The 15,978-nt window shown below is 42.7% G+C and overlaps 1 protein-coding gene across 11 annotated transcripts in view; it reads left to right on the forward strand.

Moving 5' to 3' along the window:
• The window catches only part of TMEM132B (transmembrane protein 132B), a 475,992-nt gene that overhangs the window by 445,663 nt on the left and 14,351 nt on the right, over positions 1-15,978 (forward strand). For 10 of the 11 annotated variants that reach the window (NM_001366854.1, XM_047428243.1, XM_047428241.1 and 7 more), the window contains one exon: positions 12,028-12,233. In NM_001366854.1, coding sequence (NP_001353783.1) covers positions 12,028-12,233 — 206 coding nt within the window. Of the gene's footprint in view, positions 1-258; positions 11,726-12,027; positions 12,234-15,978 lie in introns of those variants that run through there. The other variant, XM_011537854.3, reaches the window with a different exon arrangement.

The raw sequence follows: 15,978 nt of genomic DNA on the forward strand, positions 1-15,978 counted from the left end.
TTCTCTTCCTTCTTGCTTTCCTTCTTATTTTCTTTCTTGTGAAGGTGATTTTTTTGGTGATACAATTTACTTTCTTGCTTTTTTATATTTTATATGTTTGTTACATGTTTTTTAGTTTGAGATTACCGTGCGGCTTGTGAATACTATCTTATAACCCATTATTTTAAACTGATAACAACTTAACATGGTTTGCATAAACAAATAAGCAAAAAGAAAACTAATAAAAACTCTACACATTAACATCATCCCCCCACTTTTAAACTTTTTGTTGTTTCTGTTTATATTTTTTTGTACTATGTCCTGAAGAGTTGTTACAGTTATTATTTTTGATTGGTTCATCATTAAGTCTCTCTACTTAGGATAAGAGTAGTTTACCCATCCCACTTATAGTGTTATAATATTCTGTATTTTTCTGTGTCCTTACTATTACTAGTGAGTTTTGCACCTTCAGGTGATTACTTATTGCTCATTAATGTCCTTTTCTTTCTGATTGAAATACTCCCTTTAGCATTTCTTACAGGACAGGCCTGATGATGAAATCCCTCAGCTTTTGCTTGTCTGGGAAAGTCTTTATTTTTCCTTTATGTTTGAAGGATATTTTGGCCAAGATGTACTATTCTAGTGTCAAAGTTTTTTTTTCCTCCTTCAGCACTTTAAATATGTCATGCCACTCTCTTCTGGCCTTTAAGGTTTTTACTGAAAATTCTGTTGCTAGATGTATTGAGGCTCCATTGTATGTTATTTGTTTCTTTTCTCTTGCTATTTTTAGGATCTATTCTTTATCTTTGATATTGGAGAGTTTATTAAATGCCTTGTGGTAATCTTCTTTGGGTTAAATCTTCTTGGTGTTTTATAACCTTCTTGTACTTGGATAGTGACTTTTTTTTGTAGGTTTGAGAAGTTCTCTGTTATTATCCCTCTAAATAAAGTTTCTACCTGTCTCTTACTCTACCTCCTCTTCGAAGCCAATAACTCTCAGATTTGTCCTTTTGAGGCTATTTTCTTGTAGGTGTGCTACAAGAAAATAGATTTTGTAGGTGTGCTTGCTTGATTTTTATTCTTTTTTTAAATTTTGTCTCCTCTGGAGATATATTTTCAAATAACTTGTCTTCAAGCTCACTGATTCTTTCTTGAATCTCCTTGTTCAATTCTGCTAGTAAGTGACTGGTGCGTTCTTCAGTATGTCAATTGCATTTTTCAGCTCAAGAATTTCTGCTTGTTTTTAATTATTTCAATCTCTTTGTTAAATTGATCTGATAGAATTCTGAATTCCTTCTCTGTGTTATCTTGAATTTCTTTGAGTTTCCTCAAGACAGCTATTTTGAATTCTGTGTCTGAATGGTCACATATCTCTCTTTCTCCAGGATTGGTCTCTTGTGCTTTATTTAGTTTATTTGGTGAGGACATGTTTTCATGGATTGCCTTGATACTTGTAGATGTTTAAATGTGTCTGGGCATTGAAGAGTTAGGTATTTATTATAGTCTTTACTGCCTGGGCATGTTTGTACCTGTTCTTTTTGGGAAGGCTTTCCAGGTATTCAAAAGGACTTAGGTGTTGTGATCTAAGCTGTATCTGCTTTAGGGGGCACCCCAAGCCCAGTAATGCTGTGTTTCTTGCAGACGCATAGTGGTACCCCCTTGATGGTTTTAGTCAAGATCTGGGAGAATTCTCTGGTTTATTAGACAGAGATTCTTATTCTCTTCCCTTACTTTCTTCCAAACAAATGGAGTCTCTCTCTCTCTCTGTTCTGAGCCACCTGAAGCTGAGAGTGGAGTGACATAAGCACCCCTGTGGCCACTCCCACTATGACTGTGCTGGATCAGACCTGAAGCCAGCACAGCACTGGGTCTCATCCAAGGCTTGCTGTAACCATTCCCTAGCTACCAGTTATGTTTGCTCAAGGCCCTGGGGCTCTACAATCAGCAGGTGGCAAAGTCAGCCAGGTTGGTGCCCTTCCCTTCAGGGTGGTGAGTTTCCTCAGGATCTGGGTAGGTCCAGAGGTGCTGTCTGGGAGCCAGGGACTAGATTCAAAAACCTTGGAAGTCTACCTGGTGTTCTATTGCATTGTAGCTAAGATGGCACTCAAACCACTAGACGCAGTCCTTCCCCCTCTTCCTTCGCCTTTCCAAATGCAGAGAAGCCTCACCCTGGGGCCACCACCACCACAGGCCTACAGAGTACTGCCAGACTACTGCCAATGTTCCCTTAAGGTACAAGATCTCTTCAGTCAGCTTGTAGTGAAGGCTACCCGGCCTGAGACTCACCCTGCAGGGCAGTGGGCTCCCCTCTGGCCCAAAGCAGGCCCAAAAATGCCATCCAAGAGCAAGTCTTCTAATTGAGGGCCCCAAGAGCCCACTTGGTGCTCTATCCATGTGTGGTCAAGCTGGTACCTAAGGTGCAAGAGAAATTCTTTACTTTTCCCTCTGCTTTTCTTAAGCAGGAATCTTGTCCTGTAACCATCACAGTTGGGAATGTGCTGAGTTTCACCTGAAGCCAGCAAATCTCAGAGGCTCAGCCATGGCCCTTGATGTAGTACCAGGATATTGCCGCTGGTTTTTCGGGACCCAAGGATTCTTCAGCTAGTAGGTAATAAATGCTGCCAGGACTGGCTCCTTTCCTTCAAGGCAGTGTGTTCCCTTCTGGCCCAGGGTATGTCTAGTAATGTTATCTGGGAGCTAGAGCATGGAAAGGAGGCCTCAGGACTCTGATCAGTGCCCTATTCTGTTGTGTCTGAGTTGCTATCCAAGATGCAAGACAAAGTTCTCCCCATTCTTCCTTCTCTCCTCAAGTGGAGGGAAGGGGTCTTTTGTGGTACTGTAAGCTGTACAGCCTGGGGTTGGGGAAGGGTGATGCCAGCACTCCTTTAGCTGCCCCAGCTGGTATCTCAGTAGGTCACGTGCCCCCAGGTCCACTGGCCCTGGGCCCAGTTCAGCACTAGGACTTGCCTAGGTGTTGTAATCCTTGTGGACTAGACTGCCTTTCAAGTTTATTTAGGAACACAGAGCACTTTAGCCCACAGTGGTAAGGATTGCAGAAATTCAAGTTTGGACTGCTGGGATTGGAGATTCCTCTCTGCCTAGGGCTGGATTTATTTATTTAATTTATTTATTTATACTTTAAACTCTGGGGTACATGTGCAGAATGTGCAAGTTTGTTACATAGGTATACATGTGCCATGTTGGCTTGCTGCACACATCAACCCGTCATCTACATGAGGTATTTCTCCTAATGCTATCCCTCCCCTAGCCCCCACCCCCAACAGGCCCAGTGTGTGATGTTCCCCTCCCTGTGTCCATGTATGCTCATTGTTCAACTCCCACTTATGAGTGAGAACATGCAGTGTTTGGTTTTCTGTTCCTGTGTTAGTTTGCTGAGAATGATGGTTTCTAGCTTCATCCATATCCCTTCAATGGACACAAACTCATCCTTTCTTATGCCTTCATAGTATTCCATGGTGTATATGTGCCACATTTTCTTTATCCAGTCTATCATTGATGGGCATTTGGGTTGGTTCCAAGTCTTTGCTATTGTGAACAGTGCCACAGTAAACACAGGTGTGCATGTGTCTTTATAGCAGCATGATTTATAATCCTTTGGGTATGTACCCAGTAATGGGATTGCTGGGTCAAATGGCATTTCTGGTTCTAGATCCTTGAGAAATCACCATACTGTCTTCCACAATGGTTGAACTAATTTACACTCCCACCAACAGTGTAAAAGCATTCCTATTTCTCCACATCCTCTCCAGCATCTGTTGCTTCCTTAGATACCATCTCATGCCAGTTAGAATGGCGATCGTTAAAAAGTTAGGGCTGCTTTAAATGCTCCCTCTGTAGGTGGGTATCAGCAAATTTGGTATGGTTTCTCTTTCTGCTATAATAGGGTGGCACTGAGTTCAATGCCTCACAATTGCGGTGCTCTCCCTCCCCCAGTGCACTGAAATGCTCTCTGCAGCACACTGCCACTGCTGGGAGTGGGTGTGGGTGGTGGTGGTGATTCGAGACTCCCTTTTCTACCTCTTCAGTGCCTCTTTCAGTGATATTAAGTTAAAGCCAGGTACTGTTAGTGCTCCCCTGAGTTTTGGTTCCCATGAAGGTGCTTTTTTGGTGTGTAGATAGTTGTTAAATTGGTGTCCTTGTGGTGGGGACGGTCGATGGAGCCTTCTATTTTACCATCTTGCTTTCCTCTTCCCCGGGTTTGATTGCTATATGGTTACACTCAGTGCACCATCGGCTTGAAATTCCTTTAGTGATTCCTTGCACTTAGAATGTGAGCTAATTTTCCAGAGTTATTTTCTCAGTGTCCGCTTCCTTCTTGGCTTTGAATATTTCCAATGTGCTCAAGAGAGAATCTGTTTCTTGTAGCTCTCCTAATTGTATTCCCTATTATTTTCACTTGGTGCTTCTTAGCCTAGTGGAGGACCAGGGCCAAATTCTCTGATGTTCTGATTAAGCATTAGGCTTAGTAGACACTGTATCACTTAGCCTCTAGTGTATGGCTTTCAAAGGTGCTCCTACCCCTCTTCAAGCTGTAGTGTGTCTAGCATGTATTCTCATCCCTCCCTCCGGGTAGAGCTTTCTGTTTCCTTCCCTTTAGATGCAATGAGTTTCCACAGTATCCTGATTGACAGTTTTTATTATACTTCTGTCTGAAGACTAAGACTTTTGTCCCATACGGGAAATAGAAGAGATGAAACTGCGGAAATTTATCACTGACTGCCGTTTCTCTCTGCAGCCAGGATCATGAAGGAAGCTGTCTTGAGATTATCTCACATCTTCTCTCTAAGTGTCTGGTGAGATTCTTAGAACCTGCAAGAGGGTGCAAACTCCCCTGTATTTACAGTCCCCAGGGTCTTTACACTCTCACAATAGTCCACATTTGTTCTGTAGAAATGTATCTAAAAGTTTTGCTTGAATCCTTCTTATCAGCTTATGTGGCTTTCAGCAATGTCTACTCCAGGGAAGCAAATGCTTAATATATATTTCTCCCTGAAGAATCATGTCTTTCTCTAGATTGCAGGTTAGTTTGTTACCCTGCAGCCACAGTTCTCAGACAAACTTAATAAAAATTATTAATTTGTAGTTTGATAAGGGTGGGAGAAATGCTTTTCAGTGCTCTACATTTCTGAGTTGAAACTGGGGATCTGGCTGTCTTGATTTTGTCTCCGATTTTTATCAGAGAATAATCCAGGCTGCTTTAAATACACAAAAACTAAGAATGAACTCAACATACAGCGGGGATCAGAGGATACTCAACATAGAGAGCGGATCGGAGATCTGAACTTATTTCTTTAGCTTTGTGAACCCTGAATATCTGAGACAAATCCCAGTCAACTTAGAAAGTTTATTTTGCCAAGGTTAAGGACATGCGCCCGTGTCACAGGCTCAGGAGGTCCTGAAGACATGTGCCCAAGGTGGTAGGGCACAGCTTGGTTTTATACATTTTAGGGAGGCATGAGACATCAATCAATATATGTAAGATGAACATTGGTTCCATCCGGAAAGGTGGGACAACTGGAAGCAAAGTGGGGGGACAACTTGAAGCGGGTAGGGGACTTCCAGGTCATAGGTAAATAAGAGAAAAAATGTTGCATTTCCATCATTGTGGCTGAAAGCAACCAGGGAAAAGAGCCTGGGGTAACCACTGACACAAGTAACAATAAGGATGACTCTCAGAATCATCATACTTGTGAAAAAAGCCAGACATAAAGAGTGCATGTTGTGATTCCATTTATATAAAATTCTAGAAAATGAAAACCAATCTGTGGTGACGAAAAGCACATCAGTGGTTGCCTGGGGCCAGGAGAAGAGGGAGCCATGGACTGAAAAGACGCATTAGGATCTGTTTTTGGGGTGACAGAATGTTCTGTCTGTGTAGTGTTTTCATGGGTGGACACTGCCAAACTCATTGAACTTTATCCTTTAAATGGATACACTGTATTCCACATAAATTATAACTCAATCTGGTTGATAAAAAGTACTGATGTGTGTATTTAGGTCTTGCCTTTCCCAATCGGCCTGTGGTCCTCTGGAGGAAGGGCCATGTTGTCCTTGCCTGGGCTGCACTGAAGCAGTAACACAGTGCTGAGGAGGCCTCTGGCACAGAGAGACTGAGTGGGAAACATGCTCTGCCTTTCACCAGCTGTGATTCCTTAACTAGCAGCCTCTCCTTGGCCTCAGTCTACTCTCCATAATATAGAGACAAAAATGTAATGTACAGAGTATTTGGAGAGGTTAACGGGTATAATTCTACATAAAATTTTGAAAACAACGCAGGGTTCATAGTAAGAACTTAATACATGATATATATTATTATTCCTTTTGGCATTTATTATTAGTTAAAAACTCAAGGTAAAAGGAATATTTTTGAGTACCTACTGCGCCTCAGACACAGTACACTTCACTAAACTCAGTAATACATACAAAGTGATTCAGATGATAAGTGAATATCTAAGGTTTTTCTCTACATAGTTTTGATTCTTTTTGCCTCTTTTAATGTAGAATTTCAGCATTGTTTGTACGTTTGTGAGAAACATACTACCTGATTCTGTAGCATTTTTTTTTTCTTCTAACATAGCAGCACATGTCTCGGGTTGGCAGAGGGGTCGTGAGGGAAGCCCAACGTGCAGTCAGCCTCCCATCAGGGCAGGCAGGTGGGTCAACAGTGTGGCAAACACAGAGGGTGGCTGATGCACAGATTAAATTCTTGCTTCTTTTTAAAATAGAACATGAAGTAAATGATGTGTCTTACAAGATACCCAAAGGAAACATATTCACATCTGGAGAGCCCCTTTTAGCCTCTTTTATTATAAAGCAATGTAGTTGCAAAAGTGTAATTTGACAGTAAAAATATTAACCTCTAAAGGCAACTTTCCCAGGATGACATTTACAAGCCACCTCACACATGCTCACAGATTAACATGACACAAATCATCTGTTTTCAATCTCCATGTTCCTGCCCTCAGCTCTTCTTATATTAGGATTGACAGCATTTGGTTTTCAATGTTCCTCTTGAGGCTCAGAGAGCCCTGAAGGTATCAGTTAGATGAATGATGGGAATCTGGCTCTGATCTTTATTTTGCTATGTCATCCTGTCATCTCCCCACACCCCTCCTTCCCCTGCCAATAAAACACACATGTACCTCACACATAGAGATCTTAATTCTGAGTTAAAAGGCCAATTGACCACTGGGAATCCAAGGCCTCACATTTATCAGCTTTGTTCCTTCTGGTCTGTCTTCTCTCATAATATATGAAATCACTTTCACTTTTCTTAATGTCATTACCATGATAACCTTGTGTAAGTCACCTTCTTTGCCTTCTTACAGATACACACACTACTGATGGTGGTGTACAGAAATGAATGGGTCTCAGAGGAAACAGTTGTGACATATTCATTCACACACTCAGCATCTATTTATTGAATAACTTCTATGGCGCTGTGCTATTAGCAGAGACAGCAGGGAAAAGGAGAAAGGTCCATGTTCTGAAGCAGATTACCATCAGGTGGGGAAGATAGATAAGAAACAACCAGGAGCATTAGGAGAGTGGTAATTATTGTGAAGAAGTACATTATATAACAGAGCAATCTGGTGCAATTAATACAGTTTAAGTGACATGATATAAGCAATAGGAAGAGTCTAAGTAATGGAGCAATGTTGTAAATTCAGTGTACACAGTAGCACACACAGCAAATTAGATACAGGAAAATAGTGACCAGAGGCGGGTGCCAAGTTTAAATTAGGAGTGGCTCCGGGAATGCATTCTGAGGGGTGGCATTTGAGATGCAGTCCTATGTCATTTATAATCCTTTTGGTGGCAAGTAACAAAACCACATAGACCAAGATGGCTTTAGCCACAAGAACGACAATCACCTGATAAAACGCCTCAAAGTCGGGGGGTCCAGGTGGGCTGGTCCAGCGGCTCCTCTAGGCCATCGAGGGCCCGGGTTCCTTAGCTTCCGGGGTCAGTCTGGGCCACGGCTGGCTCCCTCAGGGCTCCGAGATCCCTGCAGCAGTTCCTGTCGTCAGTTCCCACAGGACAACATGCAGTGCGAGGAGGAGGCGCCACTTTCGGTGAGTCTCTTTGATCAAGGAGATGTTTCCCAGAAGCCCCAGTAGCCTTCTCACAGCTCACTGGCCAGAGTAATAGCACATGCTTTCCCCTAAACCAATCATTGGCAAAGCAGATGCGGGTTTAATGATGGAGGTAGGGAGGCCTGTGGTGAATGGAGGGCAGTGGATTTCCTGAAGAAAACCTTATTAGTATTAGAAAAGAGGAAAGTGTATGTGTGTCGGGCAGAGGTGCTGGTGCATAGTTGACTGGCCAGTAGAAAACCACTTATGAAGGACATCAGATCATATCCTCAGAAGACCATGGCATGGCCTTGGGATGGGGCTAAGCCTAGGAGAGCTCAGGGGAGCAGTGAAGACACATGAAGAGGGGCCTGTGCCGGGTAGGGAGGGCGTGCAAGGTGAGGCCAGAGAAGGAGGCAGGTCCAGGGCATTAGGGCCTGGTAGGCCCCTGTAAGGTGTTTGGATTGTATCTGGTATAGCAGAAGTTCCTGGAGAGGACAGAGGTGATCCAAGCAGAGGAGACAGCCCTGGGCCAGCAGTCAGCAGTCAGGTGCCGGCTCACACACGCAAAATGCTGTGCAAGAGGCGGTCCCTTTCTCTATGCTGGATTCAGTACAGGTAAAATGAGGCTCATGGCACCCACCTCGTGGCATTACCGTGGGACTTACTGCATTGAAAGGAGAGTGTTGCGGCAATGAGGTCCTGTACAAGTATGAGCTGTCTTGTTCTCATTATTTGAGATAGTTATAAAATGCCTATGAACACTGAATTAGCGAGTACTGAACCTTTGCTTGTAGGAGAAATAGACACACACACACACACACACACACACATTTCTAATAGTCTGTAATCTTCTATTACAAAAGAAATATTGAAGTTTGGAAGTGTTAGGTGACTTGTCTGAGGCTGCCTCACTAACAGGTGCCAGAGTAGGGATTCAGATTCTGTCCTACTGGATCCAGCGCCCAAGCTGAAGCTTCCCACACAGTGCTCCACTGCCCCCTATATTGTCCATGCTCTGGTCTTTGTATGAGAGCTGAGACAAGAAGGCAGAGCGAGTACTTGCTTGACCTCAACTGGGGATGCGTGCATGGCAGGTGGTTCAAAATTTTCCCCTCTCTGTGCAATTCCACAAATGACCAAAAAAGGAAGGTACTGCAAGTACTGACTTTGGGGTTACAAATAACTTTTAGGGAGTAGATGAGTTTGCAAATATGGAATCCACAAATAATGAGGGTCATCTGTAATTGGTGAGACCATGAAGTGAGAAACTCTGGTTTCTGTATATCTAATATATCCTTTGTACGTTGTTAGATACCTCAAGTCTTAGTACTCAGTATGATTAGCCTTATTTGTGCTGTTTTAATTGAATTACTTAAAATGGAGGCATACACTTTTTTAAGGGTATGCATGTCCCAGGAGAAAAAACTCAAAAGATAGTCAACATAAAGAATTGCTAAGCCCTCTTACTTTGTTATGTTTTTAATTAATTTATTTTTCCCATATGAGCTATACATCACTTCCTAAAAGATGGGGCAGGTTTAAGACTGTAGTGCTCCGAAAGGATGCAGACAGTTACATTATTTCATTCCTTATGAACATAGAAAGGGCCTCACAGTTTCCAAAACTGGTGTGTTCTCTCCAGTGGGATGTGATTCAGAGTGATTTGATGTGTGATTGGGGGTGGTTGGGTAGCAGTAAACAAGGGAGAACCGTAATTTTCCACAAATGCAAGAGGTTTGAGGTCTGCACTACAGAACATTGGACTGAGAAAGTTCTGGCAATAGGTGATAACCACCTGAGCTAGGGAGAAGTGAGAGCAGAACTCCCCAATGTATCCACTGCAGGTTTCTAAATCACAGGGGGCCTCAATCTCTTTTTTTCTGAGCAGGGTTGGGGGGACTTCCTTCTCTCGAGGTAGTCTGCATGCCACAGGCAGAACAAGCAGTGAGTTCAGGGGAAATCAGAGGTCTTACTGAGCCTTCACCTTCTCCTAGTGCAATGCTTCCTTGGGAAGGCAGATATTTCTCTATAATGGGGCTTCCACACCTTGAGTACCTAAATGGATGGCAGTCAGGCTCAGCATTGTGTCAGCATCTATTAAAAATAAGAACATGACCCTCCACTCCATTTTCTTCTCTGAATGGAGATCTTGTTCTGATTATTCTCTTTACAGTCCTGGGCACAATGAAGCAGATTTAACTGCCTCAAACATGCTCTAAAATACAGCTAATTTGCTTGCTTCATTGTTGTTCTTCTCTCTCTTTTTATAAAATAAAGCAAAGAGAGGGATAGAAGTAGATTCTTTTCTTTTTTTAATTTGAAAAGTTAAAGAAATGCCATATTCAGCTCCCTGTGGAATTTTGGGGATGAGAGACACATTAGCTATCAGGCCTAATGGTAGCTCTATCTACTACCATCTTAGGCCTGGAAGGAAAAAGACTTTAGACTGCTAAGTTCTGACAGGATAGGAAAGGGGCTCCAAAAATGAACTTAGCCAGACTCCAGTAACTCTTCAGCAATCCTTGTTCATTGCTTTGTGGACTGGGATTATCAAGTCAAAGTCTCAATGATTTCAGCAGATCTCCCAATGAGCAGCCTATGTTAATTATACTTAAGGATTCCTAAAGACGTCATTGGTGTTGAGAAGTGGAAGTGACAAGGATCCATCCCTGTGACTGGGGATGCAGGGTGAGTCTTAAGTGTCCCATTAGCTATTTTCTCCTTGGTTTCCATGTCAAGCTACAGTGTAGAGCTGTTGGGTGGCAAAAGGCCGGTTTCATTTCCAAGGAAGCACATTCGTATTAGTGCCATTTTTTTTTGGCGGGGTGGGTGGCGAGGTGGTAATTTATCTCAAACCACTTGGAAGTTTACTCTTTAAGTTTGGAAGTGGGCACTTCTGACATTGTTCTTGAGCCATTCACTTGACCATGTCAAATAGGCAGTTGGGCACGTGTGTCTGGGGCTCAGAAGGGAGGCCTGAGTTGTAGTTACAGATTCAAGTGAGGAAGAGAAGCAACAAGAATAAGTCCCAGTTTCTGGCTTGCAAAAGTGGGGCTGTGGTGGCCCCACTGGTTGAGGTGGGGGCCCTGCCAGCAGCACAGGCTTGACACTGCCCCTCAGCAGTATGAATGCAAAGGTTGCACAATACTTTTTATTTTCTGTCCTCTGCTCATGAAACGATTTGTGATCCCTCTTTCTTCTCTCTACCTAGTTACATAAATACATTTTCCTGATTGTCCAGGAGAGAAAGTCAGCCACAATTTATTTGCTTATCCTGAAAATGTGAAGTAAAATGGGGACTTAAATGGTCTAATGCTCAACCTACTGAAGCATGCACATTAGAGAGGCCACCCCCAAGTGCTGAGTCAAAAGACCACGGTGAAATGCCACATTCGTTCTGCAAAATTATAGCTGAATGGGGCAAAAATAATTATATCCATGTTTCTAATGCATTTCACAACTATTTTGCCTACCAGGATTTTAATCTAGTGCAAAGCTCTCCTGATTTTTCAGAGAACCTCAGTATGACTTGAATAATGTGCTTTTTCAGTAACATAAAAACCTTTTATGCATCTTCAGATATGGTGCAAGAGTGAACTATGAGGCACCTGGGGTTTGATTAGTGATCGTTTGAGTACCTAAAAAAGGTAAGATAAAGAAAAACACACATACACACAAAAGGCAACAGAGGTTATATAACTCCATTAAATTATGTTAATGGTTTTACTTGTCAGTATTTTGTAATACAAAATAGTTTTCCTGGAGTCTATTTGTCAGTGTTTGTCACTAATTAGTGCCTACAAATTACCTTTTGTACAAGTTCTGTTCATTGGGTTGTTTTGGTGTCTAATAAATCAGAGCTGCTGCAGTTCATGAACTTTCACTGTTGTTGTTTTTTCCTTGTGCTTTTCCTACTGATGCATCTCAAGGTTCTACCTCCTTCCCAAAGGTTTCCAACAACTGTGATTCCATTTTTGTGAATGGGAAGGAAATGAAGAGCAAAGTGGACACGATTGTGAACTTCACCCACCAGCACTTCACCTCCCAGTTCGAGGTCACTGTCTGGGCACCCAGGCTCCCCCTGCAGATTGAGATCTCAGACACCGAGCTGAGCCAGATCAAGGGCTGGAGGATCCCGGTTGCTGCCAACAGAAGGTGAGGAATCAAAGAGAAGGCTGTGGATCCGATTGTCCTGGAGTCCAGATCTTTGTGGGAGGCAAACTGGCCCTCAGGGACTCAAGCCATTGGGAAGCAACATCCACAGCGGGAAGCGTGGTCTGGGCTTTGGGTTCAGATGGATCTGACTTGAGTACTTACTAGCACCTTGACATGAGGAAATTATAATGAAGATGATAATAATAATAATAGTAACAACCTCATAGAATAGTTGCTAGGATTCAGTAAAACGAATGCAATACATAACAAGCACCTAGCACAAGATGTGGCATTTAGGACATAGCTATTTTCTATTCCTTACTCACTTCTTTATTGTTCATTCCTATGTTATTCACTCTCAGTTCCCCTGCTTGTAAATGTCAGCCTTCCTCCATGGAGCACAGTACAGTGGTTAAGACCGTGGGCTGTGGGATAAGGCTGCCTGAGTTGTTCCCCACCACCATCCCGCGCCGGGCAAGACTCTTCCTTTTTTTGCCTGAATTTTAACCCCAGCTTTACAACTTGTACCTGTGTGACATTGGACATGTGATTTAACCTATCTCTTTCTCAGTTTCCTCATCTATCAATTAGGGATGATAACATTACTGAAGGGTTGTCCCCAGAACTCAGTGAATGGATACATACTATAGTAGACAGTTCTAAAGACGACTCTCGCCTGTAATCCCAGCACTTTGGGAGGCCAAGGCAGGCGGATCACGAGGTCTGGAGATCGACACCATCCTGGCTAACATGGTGAAAGCCTGTCTCTACTAAAAATCCAAAAAAAATAGCTGGGCGTGGTGGTGGGCGCCTATAGTCCCAGCTACTCGGGAAGCTGAGGCAGGAGAATGGCCTGAACCCGGGAGGCGGAGCTTGCAGTGAGCCGAGATCTTGCCACTGCACTCCAGCCTGGGTGACAGAGCGAGACTCCGTCTCAAAAAAAAAAAAAAAAAAAAAAAAGTCTCCCTCCCCATGATCCCCATCTCCTGCTTCTTCAAACCCTAATCTGGTAGTGCTGGGAGGGGATTTTACAGATGTAACTACAATCCCAAATCAATGGACCTTAAAATACAGAGATTAGCCAGGTGGTGGGACCCAACAGATAAGCCCTCTGCAAGCAGAGAGTTCCTGCCAACTGGTAGCAGAAGGGGAAGTTGGGAAGATTTGAGGATGAGAACAACGTGATGATGTACTGCTGGCTTTGAAGGTGGATTGAGCCACTTGCTGAGGAATGTGGGTAATCTTTAGTAGCTGAGAGCAGCCTCCAAATGACAACCAGCCAGGAAATAGGGCCTCAGTTCTATAACCTTAGGAACAGAATTCTGTCAACAACCTGGCTGATCTTAGAAGTGGATTCTTCCTTAGCACTTCCAGATAAGAGACCAGCCCAGCTGACGCCTTAATATTGAACTTGTGAATCTCTGTGTAGAGACTTAAGTTGAGCCTGCCTGGATTACTGGCTTGCAGAACTGTGAGTGTGTTGGTGTGGGCATTGCTTTAAACCATGAAGTTTGTGGTCATTTGTCATGCAGCAATAGAAAACTAATACAGAGCCTGTTGCCCAGGGGTGGAATGTAGCCGTAACTCATACCTCAAATGTGAGCGTGCCTTTGGCATCAGGCAGTGAGTGGAGGCTGGAAGATTTTGAGGAGCATCATGGAAAAAGCCTCAACTGCCTTGAACAGATTGTTAGTAGAAACGTGGGTGTTAAAGACATTGTGCATGATGCATGAGGATCATTGTAGAGAAATCCCAAGTCACCTTACAGAAAGCCGAGATCATTGTGGACAAATGGGAAGTAGAAATCTGAACTTCAAAAACGCTGCCAGTGAGGGTTCAGGGGGAGGTGAGGAGCATGGATTCTGGTTAGGTGGTGACAGAGTGCTTAGCAAGGTTGTTCCCTGCAGGTGTGTGGAAAGCAAGTGAGGTCAGATAGTTAGCTGAGGAGAAGTCCAGGCAAACTACTGAATGTGCACTTGGATTCATCTTGCTGCTAATAGCAGAATGCAAGAGGATAGAGAAAATTTTGGAAGGGCTATGAGACAAAAAGAAACAGGGACCTGATGATGTTGAAATTTTCAGTATTTCCAGACAGCAAATGATGAATAAATTTTAAGAGATTCATTGTCAGAAAAGTGTGCTTTAAACAAAAGGCCAAGGTGGATCTCGAAAACCCTTGCTGAAACTTGAAGGGCCGCTGGGGGAAGTGATACTGCCCTGCCTGCCTGACATCTTCCAGCCTCCACCCAGCCCAGGGAAGTGCCCTCGTCTCCTATGGGCAAACCCAGAGGGATTCAAGTGGGATTCCTGCTTCACTGTGGGAATCCACAGTGCCAGGGGAACAAAACAGACCAGAATAGCACCTGAGGGCTCTCAAGCCAAATTTTCATTAGAACTTAAGTGCACAAAAGTAGGCTAGGACATATGCACTAAAACAAAGCAAATTTAACTACAATAGATTTCAGCTGCACCCAGGGTTTCCTGTCATAATATACAGAACGTCCAGAATATAACTGAAAAAATTCATTTGTCATACCAAGAATTAGATAAACCACAACTTGAATGAGAAAAGATGATCAACTGATGGCAGTGCCCAGATAAATCAGATGTTAGAATATCTGACAAGGATTTTAAAGCAGCCATACCAAAGGAAAAAAGAAAAGCTTTCAGTAGGAAATTACAAATAGCCTTGGAACCAATTAAAATGGAAAATATCTCAGCAAGGAAATATAACTTATAAAAAAGAACCAGATGTAAATTATAGAAAATATAGGAAAGAGGGAGAACAAAAGCCCTCAATAGGCTCGGCAGTACAGTGGAGATGACAGAGGATAAAATCAATGAACCTGAGGACAGACAATGCAATTTACTTAATCTCAATAACAGAGAAAATAGTCTTGGGGGAAAAAGGGAACGGAGCATCAGGGACTTGTGGGACCATAACAAAAGATCTAGGATTCCCGTAATTAGAATCCGAGAACAAGAGGAGAAAAGGTGTCGGGCTCAAACAGTATTTGCAGAAATAATGGCTGAAAACCTCTCCAATTTGTCAAGAGACATAAACACATAGTTTCAAAAAGCTTGGGAAACCACAAACATGATAAACCCAAAGAAATCCATGTGAAGACACATAGTAATTAAACTTCTGAAAATTAAAGACAAAGACAGTCTTAAAAACATCCAGAGAGAGGTTATACCAATTTGAATGGCAATGAATTTCTTGCCTGAAACCACGGAGGCCAGAAGGATTTGGCACATTTTTCAGGCGCTAAAAGAAAGGAACTGTCAGCCTCAAATTCTTTACCTGGCAAAAGTATCCTTTAGGAATGAAACGAGAATAAAGACATTCTTAAATGAACAAAAGTTGGAGAGTTTGTTTCAGGAGACCTACCTTTAAAGGGTGGCTAATGGAACAGAAAAAATTATAATGGAAAAGGATTTGGAACTTCAGAAAGGAAAGAAGAATGATAGAATGAGTAAAAACACTGTTAAATAGGATAGACTTTCCTTCGCATCAATTTTTTACATCATGTTTGGTATTCAAAGGGAAAATTATGACATTATGTGATGTGGTACTTAGGATAGACAGAAAAACATACTTAAAACAATTGTATCCTTTTTTTTTTTTTTTTTAATTATACTTTAAGTTTTAGGGTACATGTGCACATTGCGCAGGTTAGTTACATATGTATACATGTGCCATGCTGGTGTGCTGCACCCACTAACTCGTCATCTAGCATTAGGT

Source organism: Homo sapiens, chromosome 12 (genome assembly GCF_000001405.40).
Source record: "Homo sapiens chromosome 12, GRCh38.p14 Primary Assembly".
Lineage (NCBI taxonomy): Eukaryota > Metazoa > Chordata > Mammalia > Primates > Hominidae > Homo > Homo sapiens.